The 27866-nt window shown below is 42.4% G+C and overlaps 1 protein-coding gene and 1 long non-coding RNA gene across 14 annotated transcripts in view, besides 3 other annotated features; one reads left to right on the top strand and one right to left on the bottom strand.

Moving 5' to 3' along the window:
• LAMB4 (laminin subunit beta 4) overlaps positions 1-27866 on the top strand; it is a 118700-nt gene that overhangs the window by 38049 nt on the left and 52785 nt on the right. For 11 of the 12 annotated variants that reach the window (XR_927421.2, XR_927422.2, XM_011515975.2 and 8 more), the window contains exons 14-21: positions 537-687; positions 12527-12712; positions 13997-14112; positions 15249-15369; positions 22428-22605; positions 24154-24297; positions 25713-25944; positions 26394-26551. Coding sequence is in view for 10 of the 12 variants with exons in the window: in XM_011515975.2 (XP_011514277.1) it covers positions 537-687; positions 12527-12712; positions 13997-14112; positions 15249-15369; positions 22428-22605; positions 24154-24297; positions 25713-25944; positions 26394-26551 (1286 nt within the window). In the remaining 2 variants the exon portion in view is untranslated. Of the gene's footprint in view, positions 1-536; positions 688-12526; positions 12713-13996; positions 14113-15248; positions 15370-16380; positions 16777-22427; positions 22606-24153; positions 24298-25712; positions 25945-26393; positions 26552-27866 lie in introns of those variants that run through there. The other variant, NM_001318048.2, reaches the window with a different exon arrangement.
• LOC105375446 (uncharacterized) lies at positions 4-12320 on the bottom strand. 2 transcript variants are annotated; one of them, XR_001745318.2, is made up of 3 exons: positions 12041-12320; positions 7664-7749; positions 4-1558 (listed from the first exon to the last, which is right to left on the bottom strand). It is a non-coding gene; the product is annotated as an uncharacterized LOC105375446 (long non-coding RNA). The 2 variants fall into 2 exon arrangements; XR_927852.2 differs by lacking the exon at positions 12041-12320 and adding an exon at positions 7985-8042.
• Positions 2440-2941: an enhancer, noted in NCBI's record as "H3K27ac hESC enhancer chr7:107729817-107730318 (GRCh37/hg19 assembly coordinates)". NCBI's record gives its function as "activates a minimal SCP1, AML or CMV promoter by ChIP-STARR-seq in primed H9 embryonic stem cells {active_cell/tissue: H9 hESC(primed)}" and the evidence as "EXISTENCE:reporter gene assay evidence [ECO:0000049][PMID:30033119]".
• Positions 14218-14777: an enhancer, noted in NCBI's record as "OCT4-NANOG hESC enhancer chr7:107717981-107718540 (GRCh37/hg19 assembly coordinates)". NCBI's record gives its function as "activates a minimal SCP1, AML or CMV promoter by ChIP-STARR-seq in primed H9 embryonic stem cells {active_cell/tissue: H9 hESC(primed)}" and the evidence as "EXISTENCE:reporter gene assay evidence [ECO:0000049][PMID:30033119]".
• Positions 24189-24413: a silencer, noted in NCBI's record as "fragment chr7:107708345-107708569 (GRCh37/hg19 assembly coordinates)". NCBI's record gives its function as "represses an EF-1alpha promoter that drives an FKBP-Casp9 reporter gene in an ReSE screen in both phorbol 12-myristate 13-acetate-treated (for megakaryocytic differentiation) and untreated K562 erythroleukemia cells {active_cell/tissue: K562 | K562(+PMA)}" and the evidence as "EXISTENCE:reporter gene assay evidence [ECO:0000049][PMID:32094911]".

Genomic DNA, 27866 nt, shown 5'->3' with positions numbered 1-27866 from the left:
ATATTCCTTATTTAAACATAAAAGCACATTTTATTCTGATACGCTCATAGTCATAGGTGAAAAATTTCATTCCATGACAAGCAATGATCTTGAGACATTAACTACAGCCCATTGATTTCTTTCACTTCAAATATTTCCAAGGGTGAGGTAAACAATCCTTCTGCTGGGTATCCCACCACAAGCTGGTGGCATGGGTGCTTGAATACGTGTGACCTGCCTAAAACACCAGCTTTTTGCCATGTTGTAAAGAGAGATCCTAAAGCCCCCTTTTTGCCAGATTTTAGAGCAGAACCTGGCAGTGGGGGGTTGGGGGCGGAGGGTGGGGAAAGTGGCCGCCTGGGCTCCATGGCCCTGGATTCACTATTCAAGACCAGTTATGTTAAACCCATGGCCTTTCTGCATCTTCCCACAGGACCATTGATTGACTGATTCTAAGGATTGCTCCAAACTCAGGGAGCATTAGCCCAGCACCCCTACACCTTCATTTTCCGCTCACCTACTTTGCATTTTTTCATGATGAATTGCTTTTTCCTCAGGTGCTCACCCAAGAATGGGCAGTGTGAATGCCGCCCACATGTCACTGGCCGTAGCTGCTCTGAACCAGCCCCTGGCTACTTCTTTGCTCCTTTGAATTTCTATCTCTACGAGGCAGAGGAAGCCACAACACTCCAAGGACTGGCGCCTTTGGTTCGTATTTCATTTACTTTCCCTACAGACTGTGTTTGATGATATGTCAGTAAACACACAGAGCACATACTTGAGATCGTGGTTAAGATACCTAGAAAAGAATGCTTTTGCCCAAAGATGCAGATCAGAGTTTATTATAACCTGCAAATGCAGATTATATAAACTCTTGAGAGCAGAGTCTCTGTTTAGTTCATCTTTGTATCCCAGGTCTACCACAGGATCTGGCCCATAAATGTGAACGGATCAAATTATGATGAAACAGACTTTACTTTTGCTGTTTCAAGGTATACCCATCAGACAAAATGTGTTTATTGAGCATCTACTTCTCCATCTCCCCATGATACTATAAACTATAAAAGGGTGAGGTGGATGTGTATAGCATTCATCATTGTTGCACTAGCGCCTAGCACAGTGCCTGACACACTGTAGGAACTTTATAGATATCTGCTAATAAATGCATGACGAAAGTATAGAAGGTTCTCAAGAGTGTGACTCCAGATAGGAATAGGAATATGACAAAAAAAAAAGGTAATTCGAGGTGAAAGTCTTTAAGGAGAGAAAGCTTGTGAAAGTTGATCCCTAAGACAGGATTTGGATAGATAAAGAAAACAAGGGGGACTAATTCTAGGTTCCAGGAACCGAGTCATTCCTGGAATCTCTTCCTTATCTGTAAGGACAGATGGGGAAGGATGAAAATGCCCCTTAGGAGGCTTGGAATTTGCTCTTTTACTGACTAGGATCAAGACCATAGCAGGAGATTTTCGTTGTCCCTACTTAGATGTAACAACTGCGGTAGGTGGAATCCAAATGAAGCAATCCCTGGTCTGGGTTCTTCTTCGTGGTCTTGAATATTGAATCTTTATGATGGTGACTGAAAAAACAATTTTAGAAAGAAGTATGAGTATTTCTGTTTAGGTCATAACTAGGTCTCACTTTTTAGATGGGAAAACAGAATAAACATAATTATCTAAAATAGATGGTTGTAGCACCCCCAGCACGGCACATACTGAACAAATGTTTATCCTATTACCAATTAAATAGAATAATATCAAGTATGCCAATACGGCTCTGAGCCAGGGGTTGTAAGTAAAGCATCTGAAACAATGCTGATTTCATTTGTGAGGGGGGTTATATCATGCATGATATGAACCCTTACTACTCCCTCCATGGCTTAAGGAAAAATATCCAGGACATGGAATAGGTTTAAAGGGCAGGTGAATTTTTCTTAACAAGTTAGAAAATAATACCTATGACAAAAGAAAAAGCATTCAAGGTGGGATTGATATTAAGAGTTTAAAGGGCAATAATGTGAATAATTTTCGTTCTCTGCTGAGGGTATGATCTTTAATTGTAGTAGAAAAGATTTAAGTTGGTTAACATTTAATTATTTGCACATTCATAAATGAAATTTCATGGTATGCTTGCTATGCTGTTACTGTTGCTGTATTATTAATATTCCATGTATTTAATGTGCTATGCTTTGCACTTTACATACATTATCTCATTTAACTCTCCAAATAATCTATTATCCCTAATTCCCAGATGAGGAAAAAACATTAGAGAGGTTAGGTAAGTCACTCAAAGTCATACATCTAGTAGATAGTGGGGTTGGGGGAGACTGGATTGAAACCCAGGTGCATCTGGTTTCAAAACTCTTACTCTTGGCCAGGCACAGTAGCTCACATCTGTAACCCCAGCACTTTGGGAGGCCAAGGCAGGATCACTTGAGTCCAGGAGTTTAAGACCAGCCTGGACAACATAGTGAGGTCCCATATCTACAAAAACAATGACAAAAAATAGTTGGGTATGGTGGCACATGCCTTCAATCCCAGCTACTCAGGAAGCTGAGGTAGAAGGATAGTTTGGGCCTGGGAGGTTGAGGCTGCAGTGAGCTGTGGTCGCACCACTGTACTCTAGCCTAGGTAACAGAGCAAGACCATGTCTCAAAAAAACAAACACAACTCTTACTCTTAACCCATTAAGATGTTGTACAATGTGCACACAAAGCTGAGCTCCAGGCTAAGGATGGTATAGATAAGGATTAGTTAGGGTCACTGGCTCTAGGAGTTTTTACTACAGCTAACACATTTACATAGATAGCTTAGGATGGGCCAGTGCAAATGATAAGGAGAATCAGTAAGTATATTAGGATTTCTAAGCCATGAGTGAGACTTTATGAGAAGACAGTCTAGCCAGAGCAAGTTATAAATAACAATTCAGAGGAGAACCAAGGCAGGTATAGTCACAGGTACAGCAGGGAGTGTAAATAGAGAAGAACTATTGTAAAATAAAATTATAGTGTCCTGCTAAAGAGGCTAAACTTTATTTTTTGGGCATTGAGAACTCATTGAAGCCTTCTGTCATGCTGGGCCCCTATTGACCTCAGTAGATACTGCACCATGTTCAAAGAGACTGAAGAAGACACCCAGAGCCAGAGAATGAGACATAGGGATGATTGAGGGAACTTACATACAGGGGGTCCATTGGCAGCAGGCTAGACAGGAGTACTGCTATAAAAAAAAGTGTAGTTTATATAGCATTTTCACTTAGTGCCCTCCCCCTAGCAACCTCTTCTATGCAACCTTCATTTAACCCAAAACAAAGGGCCTCAAACCCCTGTATGGCCTGTATTCCATAGGATAGGCCAGAGGTTCAGATGTTCCTCAGAGATAAGGAATGAATCTCCAGGTTGGCTACTCCCAGATTCCTTAGCTGGGAACTCTAAACACACATTCCTTTTAGACCATAGGGTCATTCTCAGGGTATGCTTAAGTTATTGCTGTCAGATGAGTTCACCATACACCTTCTGTGCAAGAGAATAATGTGACAGAGGCCATCCTCAGTGTTCTTACAAACTTAATCTAACAGAAGTGAAGCCCATTTCTGGACAGACTACACTAGTCCAGACAGGAACAAATAAGGACCTAAGTTAAGAGGTAACAGAGAGAAGAGAAAGGTTGGAGATGAAACTATGAATAAGAATAAAAGCAAACCCAACTGCATCTTATGAAGAATTGTTTCAACATTCTAACTGCAGAACTAAGAAGAATTACAATTAACTTTCTCCATGGCTCATTGGTGGAATAATCTGAACTTCTTGGTCCGTGGTATAATTAATACTTCTGATGGGTACTTAAACTGTCATTTCTTTTTAAGATGTTAGGCCAGGCATGGTGGCTCATGCCTGTAATCCCAGCACTTTGAGAGGCCGAGGCGAGCAGGTCACCTGAGGTCAGGAGTTTGAGACTAGCCTGGCCAACCAAGGCGAAACCCCGTCTCTACTAAAAATACAAAAATTAGCTGGGCGTGGTGGCACACGCCTGTAGTCCCAGCTACTTGGGAGGCTGAGACACAAGAATCACTTAAACCCAGGAGGCAGAGGTTGCAGTGAGCTGAGATCGTGCTATTGCACTCCAGCCTGGGTGACAGAGGGAGACTCTCTCCCAAAAAAAAAAAAAAGATTTTAGCAACAGCTTTGCATGGAATGTGATGTGTATTTCCAGCAACAAGGAAGTGATTTCATAATTGACAAAGAAAAGATAATACTGAAGAGAAATCAGAAGCAAAGCTTACATGCTGATGAGCAGAGTGAGGTAAACCATTCATGAATGGCCACAGTCACATGCCGTAAATGAATGATATGGTAATGAATGCACTTACAACTGTGCTTGGTCCATGCATGTACTCAGTTAGTAAAAGCTCTTATTACCCTCATGAATAGAAATGGAGGAAAGGAAAAACCAAGCCCAAAGAAATCAGAGCCTCTGGGGAAAAACATCAATAGCTTTATTTCTTTGCAAAACAAGTAATTTCTAGAAATCTGGGTTCTGAAGGGTTAGAGAGTTGAACACTGTGAATTCACGATTTCTTGTCATTTTAGTAAGGAGAGGTAAATGCTGAGGAGTGGCTCTCCTCTTACATGGAGAAGGAAAGACACACTGATGGCTCTGGGTTGGTGCTGTAGCTGTGCCTCAGACTTTGAGAAAGTTGCAGTTGGTCAGTGCTGGCATCAGTGGCAGAGAGATGCCACTTCCTCACGGCCCAGCCTCCCATGGCTACAGAAGCTCCAAAGAGTCCAGAAGACCTTGTAGCCATCCCTTGTTATTCACGAAAGTCAGAGCCACTGTAGGCTTGTTTTTAGGTTAGTTCATTCCTTCATTTATTAGCTTTACTGAGATTTTTTACTGAGCCTTCCTGTGTGCATATGCACAAATGAGTATGTTGGAGAAGCAAATGAAAGCAGACGTTGGCTGTCTTGTTCCCAAAGCCAGTACCTCTTACACATAAGAGACCTTCTCAAGTGAATAAAATGGCTGAATGAAAGAAAACAGAAACACTTAAACATGGAGCCTGCCCTCATTGTAGTGGGAAGGAGCCATGGACACAAATGGCTAATGTGTGGTGGTGGGGGCTAAGGGTCATGAAACAGCTGCATGTAACATGATATGGACTTCAGATTATGGAGAAATACCCCAGCTGAGAATTTCAGAGAAGGCTTCGTGGACATTGCTCCCCCTACCAGGATCATGTGTGCCAGTCATGGGGACTTGCTTTCTCCTACTTGTTTCTCTTCCTATGCTACAGCCCCACGAGGCCTTCTCTGACTTCTAGGCTAGAAGTGGCTCTCCACAATCTGAAGTCCACCTGAAAGAGGAGACTGGGGAATGAGTCGCTAGTCCCCTCCCCTAATTCCCTCAGTGATCCTCAATTTTTACTGTGCATGTTACCTAGGGAGTTTATTTAAAATCCAGATTTGACCCTTGGGAGATACCACATCCGGGAATCTGAGGCTGGCCAAGAAACCTGGGTGTTTGCCATGTGCCCCAAGGTGATTCTAATATGGGTGGTTCATGACAGCACTCTGAGAAACCTTGCTTTAAGCATCCACAACATGCTCCTCTCTTTCTTGAAATGACCACATCTGTGTTATTCATTGGGAAAACTTCTTCTCATCCCTTAAAGCCCAACTCAGATTTTTCTCTGACATTTCCTACCCTGACATCTGGACATAATTGTTTCCATCTCTGGGGTTCCATACAGCCATAATTTTTCAAATTGCGGGCCATGCCAGTTAATAAGTAGGCCATGGGACCAGTTTAGTGGGTCAGTTTAGTACAAGAGAAGAATACAAAATAGTCATATTTTTGTGAAATTTTTTTCAGTTTTATATAAATGTGTGTATGTGTGCATGTGTACAGTGTCACTGTCTTAGATTGGGTTCCTGGAAGCAGATGACAGCAGGGATTCAGGTGCATGTGTTTTATTGAGGGAATGTATGTCAAGAAAAGCCTATAATGGAGTGAGGGAAGTAGGCTAGGAAATGAGAAAGGGGGAGGCAGGTATGGGGTCGAGGGTCAAGTTTAGCTTTGGGTCTCATCCCCCAGGGAAGCTCTGAAGCATAAATTGCACCACAGAGTTGTCACCCACTGAGGCACAGGGCTGGCCTGTTGCGTTCCTGCATCAGTCAGTCGTTGGTGCTGGACTGCCAGGGCAGATGCAGGTAACCTTCCAGGTGAGGTGGCTCTCATCAGCCAACAGCAAGGCCCAAAAGAAGGGGTCAGTCGGGAGCCATAGCAGCAACAGTCCCAGGAGCTGGCAGCTGCATGCACTAACCCAGTAAAGGGGATCTGGCAGCAGAACAACAGCACCTACAACACCTACTCATTGCATGCTCTGACCCACCTGCAGGGCCCAGTGCAAAATAAAAATGCAGGGCCGGGCGCAGTGGCTCACGCCTGTAATCCCAGCACTTTGGGAGGCCAAGACAGGAGGATCATGAGGTCAGGAGATCGAGACCATCCTGGCTAACAAGGTGAAACCCCGTCTCTATTAAAAATACAAAAAATTAGCTGGGTGTGGTGGTGGGCGCCTGTAGTCCCAGCTACTTGGGAGGCTGAGGCAGGAGAATGGCGTGAACCCGGGAGGCAGAGCTTGCAGTGAGCCAAGATTGTGCCACTGCACTCCAGCCTGGGTGACAGAGCGAGACTCCATCTCAAAAAAAAATAAATAAATACATAAAAATAAAAAAATAACAATGCAGAGCTTGTGTTCTAAAACCAGAAGGAAACAAAGGGCCATTGAAAGTACTAACATATAAAGCTTTATACTTTCTTTCATGGTCTTTCTCTCAGTTTGTCAGAGCATTTTGTTATTTGCCGTTCAATGTCATTCTATGTAAAGATATATTAAAATTTAAAATTATTAGTATGAATTGTACCATTCATCTTTGCAGAGTGCAGTGCCAGTTTTAACTGCAAACATAAGAACATTTCAACTCACACATGGAATCACTGAAATTACAAAATTTGTATTCATATTCACATTGTCAATTTGTAGTCATATATACATATGTATTTCATTCTTAACAGAACTGTGAGAACACTGCACAAAACTAAGTCAACTGTTTTCATTTCACTTCCTGCTATGTGTTCAACCAACACTCTACCTTCAGCATATTGATGAGTAAGGAAGGACTGAAAGGAAATGAAACTGTGCGTTGTCCTGTCTTTCTCTTTCCTTCTAGTCATCCTTTTCAGTGGAAGTAGTTGGCTAACGCAGGGAAGTCACATGAATAAGAAAATATATGGGGCCTGGCATGGTTGCTCACACTTGTGATCCCAGCACTTTGGGAGGCTGAGATGGGAGGATTACTTGAGCCCAGGAGTTTGAGACTAGACTAGATTTGAGACCCCATCTCTGCAAAAAAAATAAAAAATTGGCTGGGTGTGATGATGTGTGCTGGTGGTCCCAACTACTCAGTAGGCTGAGGTGGGAGGATCACTTGAGCCCAGGAGGTCAAGAGCGAGACCCTGTCTCAAAAAAAAAAAAAAAAAAAAAAAAAGGATTCCTTGGTTGTTTATGTTTCTTGGAATGCCTTTCTTTCTGCATTCAAAACAAGTCTGGTTCTAACAGAAAGCTTGGCTTCTTGGGGCTATCGGCACTCCTGCTAACTCGATCACGTTAGTAACACACTTACCTTGCACTCACTTTGAGTCTCACTGAAATCCCAGGCATAGTAGGTCCACCAGAATTCTGTGTTCATTGGCCCGTGTTGTGCACTATCTGCAAATGGGTCAACAAGGAAGCAGACATACATGATGCGCATATCTCTTCTGCTCACGTGCATGCTCCACTGTCGCAAAAAATTTCACTTACAGAACAAGTTCAAAGAAATAAAATTATTAACTATATCAAGATGGTGACAGCAAAGCATTAAATCAAGCATGGGGGCTTTCTTTAGGGGGTTGGGGGTGCTCCTAGGTAACCATGAAGCTGGCCCTGTCCATTTGCTTCTTACATTAAGTTCACTCCATGCAGGCACAGGTTCTCCAGGATTCTGATGAGTCATAATTCCTGAGGAAATTTACAAAATGACACTAGTGAGACAAACTACAGCCTCTGGCTGCTGCAGTTGGTACCAAGGCTATAATTGGTACCATCTCCCTCCCTCCTCTCTACACATTCTAGATTCCCCTTATCCTCAACTGGCACTTCTGAATGAGATGACTCACACTCTCATCCCTCATGGGCTGGAGCCCCTGCATTGCATGCCTTATCAGACCACATGTATGGGAGCACTAAATGTGCCCCAGTGGATCACCTCAGTGCCATACATATTCCTCGTGTCCCCATGATATAGCCACAGCCCTATAGTTATGATAATTCCTTCTTGTGACTACTGGTCTGCTGGCATGAGGAGCCCAAGAGACCATGTAGCAGCCATAGCTGTAAGATTAGCAGAAGGAACTCTGTCCCCCTCCAAGAATCAAGACCTCTAGACCCACAGAGCCTAATGTTACAGTGACAAGAAGCCCAGATTACCATGGTCACTGGGAGTGGTAGTGGGCATGGCTAATCCTACTTGGTTCTCCCAAGCCCATGTATTCTATCTGTTAGGGACACAGCATCAAATAAATGCCTTCATTTAAGGAGTACATAACTTCCCAAAGAACGCTGGCCCATCTCCTGGGGTTTCATTTCCAAGTTTGTGAAGCTAATGCTTCAGCTGCATCTTTAAGGGGCCCCATTCCACTGCCATCTCAGATCAGCATCTTCCAGATAGTATGGTTTGTGTAAGGGCAGTGAATCCCAAAATCGCATGACCATGGCTGAACTTGTTTTGCTGGAAAGTGGATCTATTGTGCAGAGGGGATATTACGTTTTCCCACCTTGGTGAATCGGCCCTCAGAAAAGAGTGCTGCCAAGGCCATAGAATGGCTGGTTCTCACTGTAGGAAGCCATGTAATAGCAACTTGGGTCAAGGCACCCACTTCACTAGCCCTCAATGTAGGGGATTAATGTGGTATTTCATAGAATATATGGATGGTCCAGATCCTTTTGGGCTATATTGTGACAGAGAACAAGAGAATTAAAATAGGCCCGGAGCAAGACTGTGAACATACACTCTTACCCTCCCAAGTATTCTCCTCAGCACTTTCAGACTACAGAAGGAACCCACTTGCCCTTGTTGGAAAATGGAGCCCGACTATTCCACCCCACCACATTTGCAGACAATGTAGAAACATCAAAGGATTGACGATGTTCCTTTTTCCTTAAAAGTATGGAAGAGAAAACATTTTTGCATATCAATATCTACATAGCATGTTCCAGAGGCTGTATTAATCTGCTCTAGTAAAGACACTCCATCCAACCCAACAGCTGCAAGTGGGACTATACCACGGTTAAATTTGTGGTAATTGACTTCCGTCTGCCAGTGATCCATCCAATGACTGCAGAAACAAGACTGGTGCTTTAAATGGGGATATGATGGGAACCACCACAAATTCATCCTTTAAGTCTTGAGAGTGGCACTCTGAGGATGACCCTGATTTGCAATAGTGTTTTTATGTACTGTCTTGGCTTGGGTGTGGGGCAGGGGGCTCATTTTACAAGATTTTATTTGGCTTTTCCTACTACAAGAGCTCTTACCCCACAGGTCAAAGAACCAGTGCCAACTGCAAAGCAGGTTCATTCCATTATATATATTCAAGAATTGAAGAAAATTATCAATAGGTGGTTCTGTAAATCCAGTGACATCACTATGAAAGGCACCTGGGCTAGCAGTCCATTTATTACCTGACCCACATATGTCCCTATTCTAACAAGGGGACCATGGTGGCACTTTGTATACCTGGTTATCAGCATAAGCTCAGATCCTGTATCCACTAATACTGAAAGATTATGGGTATACCCCCTTCCCCAATAGACAGTTATCTTTGTAGAAGTAATTTACCTAAGCTGGTAATTCAGGCTCTTCTCTGAAGTTCTGCGACTCTTTTTTTTTTTTTTTTTTTTTTAAGACGGAGTCTCGCTCTTTCGCCCAGGCTGGAGTGCAGTGGTGCTATTTTGGCTCACTGCAAGCTCCGCCTTCCGGGTTCACACCATTCTCCTGCCTCAGCCTCCCAAGTAGCCGGGACTACAGGTGCGCACCACCGTGCCTAGCTAACTTTTTGTATTTTTAGTAGAGACGGGGTTTCACCGTGTTAGCCAAGGTGGTCTCAATCTCCTGACCTCGTGATCCACCCACCTCGGCCTCCCAAAGTGCTAGGATTACAGGCGTGAGCCACCTCACCCGGCCGAAGTTCTGCAACTCTTACAATTAATGCTTGTGAAGAATATTCAGCTCTTCTTGCCCTCTAGTTTAAGGAGACGAGAGTCTCTTTAAACATGCCCCCAAGGAGGCCCTCTGATTTTCACACTTTGCTTTACATTGGTGATTGATTGTCCTTACCCTGTCATTTTCTCTCATCAAAGACATTCAACAACAGCCACCCATTTCCACAGTTCTTACTGGAACATCAAAGGATGCAGATGCCTCCCATATCTTTCAGTGCCAGAAATACTGCTCAAGTCAGTGCCTCCCCTTCCCTGCCTGTATTCTGTCCCATTTCTCCACAGGTGACAATTTTAGCAATTGTATCATTACATCATGCCAGGGATCATCAGTGCATGTCACCCACCACGGCCCTCACTGCCAGCCAAACAGTAAATTATCTACCTCCAGAATTGCATCTTAGGATCTACTTTTAGGTAAACTGTCTGGCATTAATTATGTCAAGTCAGGTGCCCTAGGAGAGCCTAAGATGGGATTCAACTGCAAGTGATTTATTAAGGAAATGTTCTTCAGGAATACTCTTAAGAGAGTGAAGGAGAAAAGATAGAGAAAAGGAAAGAGCAGAGCGAGACATGGTCTCAGGTAAAACAAACCTTGAATTGATCCTCAGAGGAGCTCAGGGGCATACACTGGAGGCAAAGTTGTCCTGCCCCTTGAGACAACCTGGTCAGCCTTGTATCAGTCAGTCATTGGCTGTGAGCTCCCAGAGGCTGTGTTGGCTGGTTAGGGAGGGAGATGTGAAAGAGCAATCCTCCAGAGCAAGGGTCAACTGTGAGCTGTCAGCAGCCACACACAGAGCAACTGGGGGATGGGTGCACCAAACAGCTAAAGGAGATCTGGGAGGGGCACCTACAGTGTCTACTGCAATTGCAAGGGTATTTTATTTTATTTTATTTTATTCCTCGCTCTGTCGCCCAGGCTGGAGTGCAGTGGCGCGATCTCGACTCACTGCAACCTCTGCCTCCCAGGTTCAAGCGATTCTCCTGTCTTAGCCTTCCAAGTAGCTGGGAGTACAAGCGCACACCACCACTCCCAGATAATTTTTGTATTTTTAGTAGAGACGGGATTTCACCATGTTGGCCAGGCTGGTCTCTAACTCCTGACCTCGTGATCCACCCGCCTTGGCCTCCCAAAGTGCTGGGATTACAGGCCTGAGCCACCGCACCCAGCCTTACAAGGGGTTTTTTTTTTTTTAAATGTTTGAAAAACATTGTATATTGATGACTTTACATATACCTCTGTCTATTAAAACCCAATCTGACAGCACAATTTCTTATTTACATTTCTGCCTCAGATGCGAGATTCTAAACTCCTCTGTGGCAGAGGCTCTGTCCTACTTATTTTGCATTCCTAATTCAGGAGCTGGCACATAATTGTTACTAAACATTTATCAAATGAAGGGCAGTTTGGGGTAGATCACAGAGCAACTAGAACTCCAGGCTAAGTAACTTGGGCATTATTCTGTTGGCAGTTAGAAAGAGTTTGAGATGCTTGGTTGGCAGCAGTACATGATATATATTGGACCAGAGAGAGAGAAGAGAGCAGCACCAAGAGACTATTGCAGCAACACAGGCAAAAGTAACAAGAAGAGGAATTTGAGCGGAGGCTGTGAGTGTGGAGAGGCAGAAGCAAAAGTAATTAAAGAGGTTTTATCTACAGGGTCCAGATGGCCTCAGGCTGACATCCAGTATAGAGACCGTCAGGGATTCTAATTAATCATGTTAGGAGTTTTATACTTACATGCTCCCAAGCAGATAGAAGAAGAGCGTTTCTCATTTTGCATGGAAGAAGTATCTAGAAAATAAATCCATGTGGGTTTTCTCATTGTCATGCCCAATTAGGCAAAATCTGTAAAGTGGGCATGGGAATAGCCTCCATATTTTGGGAAGAACTCCGCAGTCATATCCAAGAAAACCCAAGGTTATCAATGTGGAATTTGCTCAGTTCATTAGCACAGGGGGTACTTAAAATTAAAGTCGCTTCCCGGAACACTGCTTTCAAATCAATCATTCTATACAGTAACATATGTTCCAAAGCTGCAGTATTAGCACATTATTCTCAGCTGGATTCTGGACTGTATCCTGCTTAGAATAATTTATCTGTGACTCATATGAATCATATACACACCAGGAAATACAGGGGGTGGTGCAGTGGGGGACTGGTTTTCTTGAACTCTTTCAGGCCTTGACTGTAGGCAAAGCTATTTACATTCCTCTCCCATTTTAGGGCTCGGAGACGTTTGGCCAGAGTCCTGCTGTTCACGTTGTTTTAGGAGAGCCAGTTCCTGGGAACCCTGTTACATGGACTGGACCTGGATTTGCCAGGGTTCTCCCTGGGGCTGGCTTGAGATTTGCTGTCAACAACATTCCCTTTCCTGTGGACTTCACCATTGCCATTCACTATGAAACCCAGGTATCCTTTAACTCTCCAACTTTGGTGGTGAAAAGCTGACAGAAATACATTCTTGAACTGTTTCCATTTCAGCCTTGCTAGAATAGGTTCATCAGAAAAGGATTTGTAAAAAGTGAACATCTGGGGAGCATTATAAACCAAGGGTTTCCTAAAGATATTGAAGCAGCGCAGTGAGCCATATGCATGCATGCTGTATCCCATGGAGAGAAGCTACAGCTGGAGTTACAGATTTAAGGTACCAGATTTAAGGAAGTGGTGACTGTTTGTATAAGAAAAATAACCAAAATAACACAAATCATGCCCTCCTGGTACTTTTCTTCTAAAAATTTAATAAACCAACACATGTGCAGACATTCAGACTCACAGGTGATGCAGCAGAAGCATTTGTTTGCATTTGCATCTTACCCTGCGACAAGAGAAAGACCAAAAGCAAACTGCCCCTCTTGTTTCCCACTAGTAGACCCCCTGCCGCCCACCTTTTAAGAAATATCTAAAACAGAATAGAAGCCAAATTAGAAAAATAGTTGATTTACACCAATAGTTCCTAACCTTCCTTTGGATCTGAAGCCCACTGAACATCTCCTTTGAAACATGTTTGATATGGCTGGAGGGGGGTGTGGTCTTAGAGGCTCCCAAGCCCCACTAGGGACCACATTCTGGAGGCTCCCACGGTGCATCACATGCCTAGAGCAGCTGATCTGCTTTGAAATGTGTGATAGGACATAATTCTCTATTTCTTACTTACAAGTGAAAGCCAAGGAACTTCAGTGAACTTTGGCTCAGTGAATATGATAAGAAAGCCATTAAAAATATACATAGATTAATTTATCTGTAGAGAGAATATGGCCCTGACACCTTTAAAAAGCTTTTCCAAATTGTAAGGCTTCAGAATAAAGCTAATTTGCATATCTCCCCAGTATATAGATTCCTTTTGTAAAGGATTCCAAATTATTATTATTTGTTCTGTGATCCAGAGCCATGATGAATGAGTCAACTCCCTGGGAAATGGGGGTTGAGGATTAGGCTTGTCAGGAGAGTTAAGGTTTTTCCAGGCTCATGAGCCCATGAGAAACAATGCTTTTTCTGCCTGGATCACAATTCAGGCATCAGAGAGTTGGGCCTGAGAGTGAACCTCTAAGACTCTTTCAACTCCAAAACTCTTTGCCAAGTGGCCTAGGGGTTGCAAATTCAAGTCCATGCACTTTCCATTAGCTATATGTGTGTACGTGCAAAACATTTTCCTGCATCCTTGCAGTGACATGCCTTAATGTCATGCCTGTCTAGTCTGCAGCTGACTGGACTGTCCAGATTGTGGTGAACCCCCCTGGAGGGAGTGAGCACTGCATACCCAAGACTCTACAGTCAAAGCCTCAGTCTTTTGCCTTACCAGCGGCTACGAGGTATGTTTCAGACCGGTCCTCAAACATTGAAAGCTTCTTAGAATTTTGTTCACTTATCAGTAATTTGTTTCTGGGAACTAAGTGGAGAAAGAGGAGGTCTGAAGAAAACTATAACATATATTAAGCACTTACTGGGTGCTGCACTATGCTTTACATTTAATATCACTTTTAATCTTCATAACAACTCAGTACGGCAGGTTTTGTCTTCGTTAGATGAAGAAGAAATTGAGAAGGAGAGTACTTAAAAGACTTACTGAAAACTCATCACTAATGTGTAGCAGAACCAGGATTCTAGCCAGGATATCCTGACTCTAAATATTGAATGTTCCTTTTCCGGTCCCCAGGTGGCTTTGAAATGTAAGAAAGGAAAATGCAACCAGAACAAGAGTAAAACATTCAGCTTGATTACTCTCAATAGATGAGAGTCTTTGAAGTAAAAGACTGCTAATTTTGAGGCCACTGATTTTGCCTCAGCAGAAACTTGTGGCAAAATAATTTTTTTTTTTTGAGTCAGAGTCTCGCCCTGTTGCCCAGGCTAGAGTGCAATGGCATGATCTCTGCTCACTGCAACCTCTGCCTGCTGGGTTCAAGTGATTCTCCTGCCTCAGCCTCCTGAGTAGCTGGGATTACAGGAGCATTCCACCACGCCTGGCTAACTTTTTGTATCTTTAGTAGAGACAGAGTTTCACCATATTGGCCAGGCTGGTCTCAAACTCCTGATCTCATGATCTGCCCACCTTGGCCTCCCAAAGTGCTGGGATTACAGGTGTGAGCCACCATGCCCTGCCGCAAAAATTTTTTTTTTGAGATTTTTTGAGATCCTGTTGATGTTAGCATGAGAGACGGGATGAGGACCTCTGTACCATCCTTTCCCCAGAGCTGTCATAACAACCCACAGCCAATAGTTTCTCAGACTTTGCTACTTGGCACAATCCTGTGGAAGAGCCACAGAGGATCTGAATGTGACTTTACCATCCAACCAACCCACCTGTGCTGGTCTAGACCTACACTGGCCTCAGCCCCACAGTGGAGGTCACTGCCCAGTACAAGTGCAATGCTACCAAATACTATGGCCATTTAGCTAATATAATTGTATTTCTGTGGTCTGAATTTTTGCTTTATCTTTCTTAATACAGAATCATGCTGCTTCCCACACCCATCTGTTTAGAACCAGATGTACAATATTCCATAGATGTCTATTTTTCTCAGCCTTTGCAAGGAGAGTCCCACGCTCATTCACATGTCCTGGTGGACTCTGTAAGTATCACAGAGTTTTGTGGGTGCTTTCTTCGCTACTAAGCACCGTTATAACTACTTTTAAACTCACTAGTGAAATATTTCTTTAAAAATGTAAACGTATTTGCTCAATTATAAAAGCCACCTAATAGCATCTGCAAATCTTATTTAACAGTATGTCCCAGTAATGGTTTGGAGTGTTTTACATATTATTTAATCACAGAAACCCTGTGTGGTAGGTATACTTTCATGATTTCACAGATGATGGAACAGAGCTAGTGGTCTGTGACGCTGTGACAGGGTCACAGAGCTAGTGAGTGAGGAGTCCAGAATCAGAGCCACCCAGCCTGCTTCCACATCCCTGCCCTGAGCCACGACAGCACACTGTTGGTATAGGAAATGTGGGGAAGAAATCCAACCACATTAATCATTATCATTTTCCAAGTTCCCATTTTATACATCCTACACTTTTGTATCATTGAAATCAGAGTGCTTATACAATGTTGTAGGCCAATTTTTTTCACCTCACACTTCATCATAAGCATTTTCTTATGGTATGTATGTAGTCTTCTTATCTTCAGAAACCATGCATAATATTTCCTGAGTGACTTCTTCCAACATCTTTCCCCCACAGAGTGGGGCAATGGGCATTCCTTCCAAACTTCTTACTCTGTGCAGCCCTTCAGACCCAGGCTTGTCCCTTGGCAGAGTTGAGCATTGAGTAGATTTACTTAAGTTACTTATCTATTTTCCCTACTCCTGGTCATATAAGTTGCTTCTATTTTTTACTACTATGTGTATTTGATACATGTTTGATACATATGTATATTTGATACATTTGAAATATACATATATTTGATATATATTACTACTATGTATATTTGATACATATTTTTAAAAATATTTTAAAATATTTTCCTACTTTACCTAAGGTGTTATGGCTCTTGAAATAATTTGTCAAAATATTTTCTGGAACATATTTTCCAATTCATTTTTTTTCTGTTTTGAGACGGAATCTTCTCTGTCACCCAGGCTGCAGTGCAGTGGCACAATCTCGGCTCACTGCAACCTCCGCCTCCTGAGTGCAAGCAATTCTCCTGCTTCAGCTTCCCGAGTAGCTGGGATTACAGGCACCCGCCACCACACCTGGCTAATTTTTGTATTTTTAGTAGAGATGGGGTTTCACCACATTGGCCAGGCTGGTCTCAAACTCCTGACCTCAGGTGATCCACCTGCCTCAGCCTCCCAAAGTGCTGGGATTACAGGCATGAGCCACAATGCCCAGCCTCCCCAATTAATTTTTAAGATCATTAGTACAGTATGAAGGTACCAGTTTCATCCCACCTTCAACAGAATTATATAGAATTGTGTGGGATTTTTAAAAAGTAATTTCATGGATAAAAATAAAATTTCTTTGTTAAAATTGCATTTTTGTATATTTGTGAGAATCTTCTAATATCATTACTTAATTGGCAAACTATAGCCCAACGAAGTTTTATTGGGCCACCGCCAGTCCCATTTGTTTATATATCATCTATGGCTGCTTTCAAGCTAAAAGGCAGAGTTGAGTAGTTGCACAGAGACTTTACAGCCACATTTCATCTGGCAACCATAATCAAAGGTGTTATAAATCCTGTACCTAGAGAGCTCTGTAACAGTTCAGGTGAGAGGATCTACCTGGTAGATTCTACCATATTATAGTAGAAATAAAGTAGAAAGTAGAAACAAACTCTTAATTGGGAATTTTAAACCGTCATGATTTCCCTAACTATATAATCCATTTCTCCACTGAGGAACTTTAAATAGAACTGTACTCATTAACCAACATATGAGTTACAAAGGGAAGAAAATCAAATCTGATAGGTTTAATTTGGGGGGGAAATGCCAAAAATTGGGAACCCAAGCAAATTAAAGAGAATGGAAGAAACTAATGAAGTCCCAGATCACTAAGGGATATTACTGTTACTATAATAATCAGGAAACCCAAATTTATAAAAGCCAACATACTCTTGATTTTCAATCTATATCCTAAATATTTCTAAACTTTGTAAATTCCAAAGATTATCACTTGACGCTGTACTAAAGGCATTCATCCAAATTATCCACTCATCACCCATTCACTGAGTATATATGGGCCAGGAAGTATGCTGGTCCTGGGGTGTAAAATATGGTTCCTTATTAAAAAATAATTCTCAGCCTAGTACAGAAGAGAGACTTGTATATAAAATCATTACAAGGATGTTTGATAGATGCAATAAGTAAATAATTTGGAACTAATTTTAAAATATTGCATTTGGGCCGGGCATGGTGACTCACACCCATAATCCCAGCACTTTAAGAGGCTGAGGCAAGCAGACCACTTGAGGCCAGGTATTCAAGACCAGACTAGGCAACATGGCGAAACCCCGTCTCTACTGAAAATACAAAAATTAGTCAGGTGTAGCAGCACATGCCTGTGGTCCCAGCTACTCAGGAGGCTGAGACACAAGAATCACTTGAACCTGGGAGGCAGAGGTTGCGGTGAGACAAGATCACACCACTGCAATCCAGCCTGGGCGACAGAGCAAGACGCTGTCTCAAAAAAATAAATAAAATAAAATAAAATATTGCATTCAATTAGTTTTCAGTCGATCATTCTCTTACATATAACTATGGAAAACCTGAAGTATGAATAAAAGTTAAGAGAATAACCCATAATTGGTAACTGTCAGAAATCTCGGAAGAGGCCCAGACCTGTTTTAGGTCAGATTCCCTAAAGCAAAAGCTGAGACAGGGACTCAGGTAGATGTGATTTATTGAGGGTGTGTTCCTGAGAGGAGAGGAGTGAGGAAAATAGGGGAGGACAGGGGAAGGAACCAAGCAAGGATGTGGTCTCCACTGAAGTGTGGCCTCAGGCTGATCCCACCTGGAGCTCTGGAGCCTGGATTGCACCACACAGTTGAACCTCCCTGGATGCAAAGCAGTGCCTTATAAATGCTCAGCTACAGGTTCACCACCACCACCACCACCACCCGCCCCACTGTGAGTGCATAAACCCCTGGACCAGATGGCTGAGTGCAGTTTTCTGAAGAAGGGAACAGCTGTGAGCCTTAAGGAGCCAGTGCCACACCCACTACAGGATGAGTACACCAGCCTGCCAAGGCCAACCTAGGGCGGGCAACTACAGTGTGCACTGTGGTCTCTGACCCAAAATGTCCAGGAGGAGAAAGTCCTTGCACATTTCATTGTTACAGACTAATATGATTAATGCCATACCACCAATTTTGTTGCTCTGGGAAGATAAGACACTTGACTGCTTGGGACGCAGCCCTTTCAAAGTTTATTCTTTTCTGCAGCCAGATTAACATTTGCATCTGATACCAGGGGACATTACCAAGAAGACCAAAGGAAACCTTTGTTTATCCATGGTGCTCCTTCTGCACAAATGCCTTGTTTGGCAAGCACTGTGAGATCACTGAAATTTGTTTTCAGTTACCCAGATTACATGGTATGTGCATTTATAAAACTGTGTTTAGAGTAAAAAATATATTAGGCATTCTAGAATATAAAACTGCCATTCTTCTTTTTAAACCATGGAATGGAATATACTTGGTAAACATAAAGTCCTTAGAAGTTTCTGGTAGAAGAAGTGAGTCATGGCATTACAAAATCCTATAGCTGGCCGGGCGCGGTGGCTTACGCCTGTAATCCCAGCACTTTGGGAGGCCGAGGTGGGCGGATCACCGGACATCAGGAGTTTGAGACCAGCCTGGCCAACATGGCAAAACCCCGTCTCTACTAAAAGTACAAAAATTAGCTGGGCGTGGTGGTGTTTGCCTGTAGTCCCAGCTACTTGGGGAGGCTGAGGCAGGAGAATCACTTGAACCTGGAGGCAGAGGTCTCAGTGAGCTGAGATCGTGCCACTGTACTCCAGGCCTGGGCAGCAGAGCAAGACTCCATCAAAAAAAGAATTCCTATAGCTGACAGGAACTCTTGTCATCTGGTCTATCTTCTCAGTTCCCAGAATGGCCAACTATCAATGGCTCAGACCAAGAGCTGTAAATTATCTCTGGTTGGCTGCCCTCATCCCCAACCCCAGCCCATATGGCTTTCTTTTTCATCTCTCCCCACTTGGTTTGTGTTTGGAGAGCACAGAGTCATTTTCATATCAACTTAAGAATACAGTAGTAGACCTGTAAATATTCTTTACTGAACAAATTTCTATGAAGCGCCTACTATAAATTAGACACTGTGGTAGGCATAGGTGTAAACAAGACATGTACTATCCCTGCCACCCCGGTTCTTATTCTCTAAAGGGGAGATGCAGAGAAGCAAGCAATGAGAGCATGGGGTTAGAGGTCCTGGGAACCGTGACAGGGCACAGACCCAAAAAGCTCAGCATGACTCTCGCAGTGGTTCTCAGCCTCATCTGACCCAATCCCATGCCCCCTTTTTTAACTTTTAAAAATATTTTTATTACAAATATTTTCTAATATTCCTTACCATCCTGAAATGAAATTCATAGGCACTATAGCCTATCTGCATACATGACTTCCAAATAACATCAATGTAATATGCTAATATTAATACAAAGGAAAAACAAAAGGAAAGTATGGATAAATAAATCATCAGACTTCAATGCGTACATGTACAGGCATGAATACACCAGAAGACACAATGAAGTAGGAAGATGGCTCACATAGGTAGAATCACTGCTTTCATGGAGAGAGCCATGAAAGCAGGTGTGTTGTAAACATGTTTCAAAAACATAGAGTTAGGCTCTCGACTCAAACTATAAACAGGGTTTTCTCCTTCATGAATATCCAATGGAACTTTCAAAAGCTATAAGGGCCATTTTGTGAGAATGTCCCACGTTTCTGACTGCAACCTTCTAAATGCCTGTAATAAACATCACTCTATTGCTGTGACAACTAAAACCACCTCCACAAATTTCCAAAATGCTCCCTAGAGGGGCAGTACCTCCCATATTGAGGACCATGGGGTTGAGAGGATGAGCAGGAGGAGCATAGCAAAATGAAAAAAAAAAAAAAGTTCAGATTTTTATCCTGAGGCAATGGGAAGCCACTGAAAAGTTTTAAGAAGGAGATTATCTGGACAAACTGCATTTAAAAAGATCACTCTGACTTTAGTGTAGAAAATGAATTGGGTGTGGCAAGAGTGGATGCTGGGCCATCTGTTCAGCTGCCACTGTAATCATCCAGGTGGCCTGAATTAGGGAAGTGGCAGGGGAACAAAGAACCATAAATGCACCCTAGACACATCTAAGAGGAGGAATTGGCCAGGCTTGTGATTTGATGTGTGTGGGATGTGCGTTAGGCAAAAGTGTTGATAGCAAAGAGGCAAGTGTCAAAGATGACCTCCTTCAGTTTTCTCCACTGAGCAGCTTGACAGATAGTGGCATTGTCTACCAAGAGTAAGCACAGAAAGGAAAGTGGGGTTCAGGCATGTTTGTTTTGCAGTGCCTGTGGGGCAACTAATAGGCGTTAGATATCAGTGCAGATCTGGAGCCCACGACTGACAGGTGCACAGGAGATGTAAATTCAGATGCTGGCACCCATTCAGATGGTGGCCCAGTGTGGCCAAGATCACCTAGGAAGTAGGTGTGGAGTTAGGGGGGTGCTGATGAGAGAACCCTGAGGAACTCTAACATTTAGGGATGGGATAGGGGAGAAGTATTGCATTGGCTTGAAGGGTGAATGGCAGATGAGGCAGGGGTGATGACAAGGAAATGATTTTTTTAAGAAATTTGCCTATCAAGGAGTCAAAGGGCAGAGACAGGGGCAGTGGCAAGAGGAATATGTACGATTGAGGAGGTGATTTTATAGATGGGAGAGACTTGAGCACATTTAAATGTGAGTTGAGAGGAAGAGAGTGAAGAAAGCAAACATAATATGCAGAAGAGTTTTGTAAGGTTAGAGGAGTTACCAATGGGACACTTCTTCCACTCCCAATACCTCTTCCTTCTTGAGCACTAAATGTTCCGGATGGGTGGTAAGACTCGAGAGCCTGGAATTTGGGAGGCAGGTAGTAGGAAGCTCCAGGCCTTTTGCTGGGGTCTGTTTCCTCTGTGTAGTAAGGAGGTAACGACATATGCTCAGAGTACAGCAGAAAGAGGAGACACTGGTAAATACAGATGACTTTTGAACAATTTGGGGGTTAGGGGTGTCAACACCCCCATGCAGTCAAAAACCTACATATGATTTTTTACTCCCCAAAAACTTAACTACTAATCACCCACTGTTGACTGAAAGCCTTACCAATAACATACAGCCAATTAATATATATTTTGTATATGTAGGATATACTGTATCCTACAATAAAGTAAACTAGAGAAAAGAATATGTTATTAAGAAAATACAAGGAAGAGAAAATATGTTTATATTCATTAAGTGGAAGTGGATCATCACAAAGGTCTTCATCCTCTTCATCTTCACGCTGAGTAGGCTGAGGAGGAGGAGGAAGAGGAGGGCTTGGCCTTGCTGTCTTGGAGTAGTGCAGGCGGAAGAAAATCCACATAGAAGGGACCCATGCAGTTCAAACCTGTGTTGTTCAAGCGTCAGTTCTGGTCATCTAGGGTTGTGATGCCACCAGCTGGGTGTGTCAAAGGACAACTAGGGAAAGACTGAAGAGGGTTGAAGTAAAGGGCTATGGAAACTGGTTTCAGGACAGATAAAGCAAAAAGAAGACTAGAGGAGATGTATCTGCACAGGTTTAGTCTCCAGACTTTACCTGCTGAATTAAAACCCATTTTCACTGCTGCTTTTAACACGAGTTGTTCAAAATGACCAACTTGATGTTATTACTCTTTCAAATCTAGACAAACATATTAGCAAGTAAAAAATATGATAGTAGAAAGATAAAGGCTTTTTTTTTCTTAGCCACAAGTCCAGAAATATAAATATTTAAAGATTTCTTAAATAAATTGAAAATCTTTAAAGTCTTCAGTCTTAACCAGTTTAAAGGATTGAGTTGAGTCTTCTTTGAACCATTATTTTCATAGATCTAATTTTTTTATATGTAAGTAGAATCGTACACAGCAGATAGTTTGAATGTTAAGTCTTTTTGCATTCTTTCAAAAGCTTGGCCTTATTCCCCAAATCAATTCATTGGAGAATTTCTGCAGCAAGCAGGACTTAGATGAGTATCAGCTTCACAACTGTGTTGAAATTGCCTCAGCAATGGGACCTCAAGTGCTCCCGGGTGCCTGTGAAAGGCTGATCATCAGCATGTCTGCCAAGCTGCATGATGGGGCTGTGGGTAAGTATCTGTTTAATGGGCTCTACTGAGGCACTGACATCCATACAAATGCTTTTTGGAGCAAATCAATTTATGTTAGCATCCACTCCAAACAACAACCAAAATACCCATCACTCAATGATTAGATACACAGAGTGGTCTGCTGATGTGTTGGAATCATAATGCACAGTACATTGAGTGTATAAAAGAGGAACTTTGCAGCAGCATTTATAGGCTAGATGGCTGGAACAATGATCCTAAAATATTCATTTGGAATTCTAGGGCTGGAAGGAACTCCAGACATCTTTCATCCCAAAATATTCATTTAATAAATGAGCATATTGGGGCCCAAAATCTGTATGTAACTTGCCCATTTCATTTAGCTATGGAAGGGCTTTTCTCCCTCAGCACTACTGAAATTTTGAGCTGGGTAATTCTTTGCTGCGGGGGCCTGCCCCATGCACTATCAGGTGTTTAGCAGCAGCCCTGCAGATCCTATACCGGTACTGCCCTCCCCTAGTTGTGACATCCAAAAATGTCTCCAAACTTTGTCAAATGTCACCTAAGGGACAAAATCATCCTTCAGTTGAGAAGCATGGCTATAGAGTGACAGCTACAATGACAGCCGAGGCTTCCTGAATGTTAGGCAAATGCTTTTTCCATTAGGACAGAGCTATGAGTTCAGGGTACCCACCATGTCATGAAATATATGGAATAGGGGGAAATAAAAAACTAGTAAGGGGGACCGGGCATGGTGGGTCACACCTGTAATCCCAGCACTTTGGGAGGCTGAGGCAGGTGGATTGCTTGAGGTCAGGAGTTCGAGACCAGCCTGGCCAAAATGGTGAAACACCATCTTTACTAAAAATTAGCCAGGTGTGATGGCACGTGACTGTAATCCCAGCTACTCGGGAGGCTGAGGCATGAAAATCACTTGAACTGGGAAGGCGGAGGTTGCAGTGAGCCAAGATCACACTACTGCACTCCAGCCTGGGCCATAGAATGAGATTCAGTCTCAGAAAAACAAACAAACAAACAAACAAACAAAACACTAGTAAGGGGTATGGTGGCAGACACCTGTAGCCCTAGCTACTTGGGATGCTGAGGCAGGAGGATTGCTTAAGCCCAGGAATTCAAGGCTACAGTGAGCTATGATCACACCACTCCAGCCTGAGTAACAGAGTGAGACCTTGTCTCTAAAAAATAAAGTAGTAGGTATAATTCAGCACCAATGTAGAACATCAGGAATTGAAGTATTAAGAATGCCAATAGTATTAATTACATTAGAATAATTATTTAAAACCAATTTTAAGTCTGTTAACTTGTTAAGTAATGTTTATTGAGCACCCTATGTACCAGCACTATTCTAACTACTTCGCAGAACTTATTTCCTTTTATCCATACAACAATCCCACAAGGCAGATTCTATATTATTCCTATTTAACAGATGAGGGAGTTGAGTATTAAAGAGGTCTTAAATGAGAGAGAGGTGAACTATAGCTACTAACAAGGTGAGGTGCTTCTCTGCCTCTTCATTCATTTCTACCTCCCTTCCATTGTTCCTTGCAGCCTGCAAGTGTCACCCCCAGGGCTCAGTCGGATCCAGCTGCAGCCGACTTGGAGGCCAGTGCCAGTGTAAACCTCTTGTGGTCGGGCGCTGCTGTGACAGGTGCTCAACTGGAAGCTATGATTTGGGGCATCACGGCTGTCACCGTACGTAGCAAAACACACAAGGGGAAACACTTGCTCACAGTCTTGACATTTTGACAGCAGGCAAAGTCATGGAGGGGGGTTTTAATGGGAAGGAGATTGGAAACCTGACTACATTATTCAGACTATCTATGTACATAAAATATACTGAACATTTTTTTGCTACACTTCATTCATCCATTCATCAATGGGCCCTGACTGTAGGCAGAGCTGCATTAGGAACCGAGAGTAATGAACAAGGCATAGTCCATGCCTCTGGAAGTTTGCAGTCTGTGTCAAATGGTTGGTAGTTCAGTTAAAACGTGGAACACCATGAAGGGAGCTGGCAAAGCCAGCTTGAGGATCTAGCTCACAAACCCAGTGGCTGGAAAGGCTAAAACAATGATAAGATTGGGGAGTCAAGAAAGGGACAATGCTGTCACCACAGACAAGACTTCTCCCAATGAGGATATCACCCTTTCTGATGCGAGGTTTGCAAACAGCCTTGTAACTCATTTTATAAGTCACCCATTGATAAAGGTTTAGATGGGGCTTCATCCACAGCTGATAATACAGCTCTCATGGCTAATATGTTCAGGTATATAGTTCTCTCTTCACAGTGTAAATCATTAGTGAAAATACTGTTCCCTCAGATTCCTACCTTAGGAACCATGAAAACCTACAGGTAGGTTAATTTCCTTTCCAAGTAGGGAAACATATCTTTTCAATCATAATCCAGAGAAATGGTTCCCCTTCCTGGGCATTGCTTGGGCATGGCCACCTACCCAGCCCATCATTGGATCCATCATTGCTTTCTTTTCTTTTCTTTTTTTTAAGAAAAGTTACAAAATGCCTGAGATACACAGAGGGATCTAGACAAAGGAACAAACATTTCTTCCATGCGCCACCCTATCACATAAACTGGCATCACATTTTGGCACAGGGAAGATTGGCTCAAGGGATTCAACAATTTATCAGAAAAGGATTGGGCCTCTTCCATCTTGTCTAGGAAAAAGAAAACTCTGACCATGTTAAGATGGGCTCTTATATGGTTTATAATCTAGAGATTATATTAATACTATACCATTATTTTAGTATAGTATTTATATATACTATATTAATACTAAAATATTAATACTAGAGGTTATATTAATATACCTAAGATATATGGAAGTTTAAGTCGTTAAAAACATGTTACTTGTTTTTAACAACAAACGTTAATTAAACCCAATTGTTCGCAACATACTGTTTATCCAGTGACTCAGTGAATTGTTATTTAACGTTTACCTGGAACTCATTATATGCTGTGTCCTAAGCACGTTACAGGCTTGCTTAGTTCACTGGGATTGGGAAAGGAAATGAGACACCAGAACTGTAACTCTTTCACCACCACACACCACTCATCCCCGCTCCAGCATACTTCTCTTTGCTTCATCCAGCATGTCACTGCCATCCTCAAGGATCAAAGGACACTGTATGTGACCAAGTAACAGGACAGTGCCCCTGCCATGGAGAGGTGTCTGGCCGCCGCTGTGATCGCTGCCTGGCAGGCTACTTTGGATTTCCCAGCTGCCACCCTTGCCCTTGTAATAGGTTTGCTGAACTTTGTGATCCTGAGACAGGGTCATGCTTCAATTGTGGAGGCTTTACAACTGGCAGAAACTGTGAAAGGTATGGAATTCATATGCACTTTAATTTTTAGGTCTTTAACACTTTGTTCCAATCTCCTAATAGAGATCCATTGAGTAGAGACTCAACAATATTTAAGTGTGGGAGGGAGGACTGTTATAGGTCGGGGAGAGCATTGCTTTCTCACCCTTCAAAATCATCTTACGAGCCAGAAAATGCAGGATTAAATCAATAACACACATTTGCCTGGCATGTTACTTTCTATGTTCCTCAAATGTGACATGTAAATCGAGTGCTATTACATAGAGTTTAATTGACCATACGTTGAGACTTTTGATATAAAAACCAAAAGTCGTTTTGCAGAGCAAATGAACATCTTCTAAAATATTCAGTTTTCAGAGGTGCACTGTTTTAAAGCATAGCAAACCGTCATTGGCTAACATGTGATCTTTTCCTGGAAACATTTTGGTGAAAGGAAATTGTCTTGACAGGTGTATTGATGGTTACTATGGAAATCCTTCTTCAGGACAGCCCTGTCGTCCTTGCCTGTGTCCAGATGATCCCTCAAGCAATCAGTATTTTGCCCATTCCTGTTATCAGAATCTGTGGAGCTCAGATGTAATCTGCAATTGTCTTCAAGGTTATACGGGTATGCAGTATAGTGCTTGATGCAATTTTTTCTCTTTATCCCACACTGTAATCTGTAAAATGATCATATATTCATGACTTATCTGTCTTGGACAAATGTGTGGTGCAGAAATGGTAAGAAGACACAATGTGATAAATAGCTGCTTTATTGAACAAAGAATTTGAATGATTCACAAACCAATGACAATTAAAACTCATCAGCCACTGAGCTATGATTGTTTGCAAATAATGTTCTAGAAAACTAATTGACCAAATGAGACCAAATCAAGTTAATTTATTTAAAATAAAATTATCACGTTAAGTAAGATATAAATGTGATAAAGTAGCATATATATTATATATAACAAGCAACTAAAAAATAAATGGAATTAGTCAAATGCTTTCTTTACATAATTTCAAATATTCAATTTGATATTTCACAGACATTACTAATTTTTTTCAGGTAGCTTGAAGCAATATTTGGGCATTCTACAGCCATCACATAAGTCTTAATTCAAAACATGTATCTCTTGCTCAATTGAAAATTTTATTTTAAAGACTTTAAGAGGGCTAGGCACAGTGGCTCACACCTGTAATCCCAGTACTTTGGAAGGCCGGGAAGTGGGTGAGGGAGGATTACTTGAGGCCAGGAATCCAAGACCAGCCTGGGCCGCAAAGCAAGACCCTGTCTCCACAGAGAAATTTTAAAAATTAGCTAGGCATGATGGATTGCACCTGTAGCCCTAGGTACTGGGGAGGCTGAGGCAAGAGGATCGCTTGAGCCCAGGAGTTCATGGCTACAGTGAGCTCTGATTATGCCACTACACTCCAGCCTGGGGCCTATGCAACAGAGCAAGACCCTGTCTCTAAATTAAAAAAAAAAAAAAAAAGGTATTTACACATGAAACATGAGTGTGAATGTTTACTGAAAATAAGAAGATAACTTATGAAGTCTATTTGATTTAATGATATGTAGAACTTATGGCAATACTAATGATAATTACCATCACGATAAATTACATGCCTGATTTTCCCCTCATTTGTTACATCTAAGGTTAACAGTTAATTCTCACCTCTTCCCTTGCAGCCTCTTTCCCAATGCATGGTTTGGTATGTTTGGTCAGTTTTTAAGAACTGAGACCATGTTTGGGCTAAGTGAACATTTCCAAGTGGGATGAACCAAAATGTGGAGAGTGGAGCCACAGTTTGGGCACCTAAAAAGCCGCAGTCATCTCATGGTTGCAAGGGTAAAGAGTGTTAGAGAGAAAGGTGGTTCCTTCAGACTGCTTAACAGAAACACCCTCAAGGGCTCATATGTCATGAAAACTGCTCTTGCT

Source organism: Homo sapiens, chromosome 7 (genome assembly GCF_000001405.40).
Source record: "Homo sapiens chromosome 7, GRCh38.p14 Primary Assembly".
NCBI classification, from domain to species: Eukaryota; Metazoa; Chordata; class Mammalia; order Primates; family Hominidae; genus Homo; species Homo sapiens.
The sequence above is the reverse complement of the archived record's forward strand: the minus strand, read 5'-3'. Positions and strand labels throughout refer to the sequence as shown.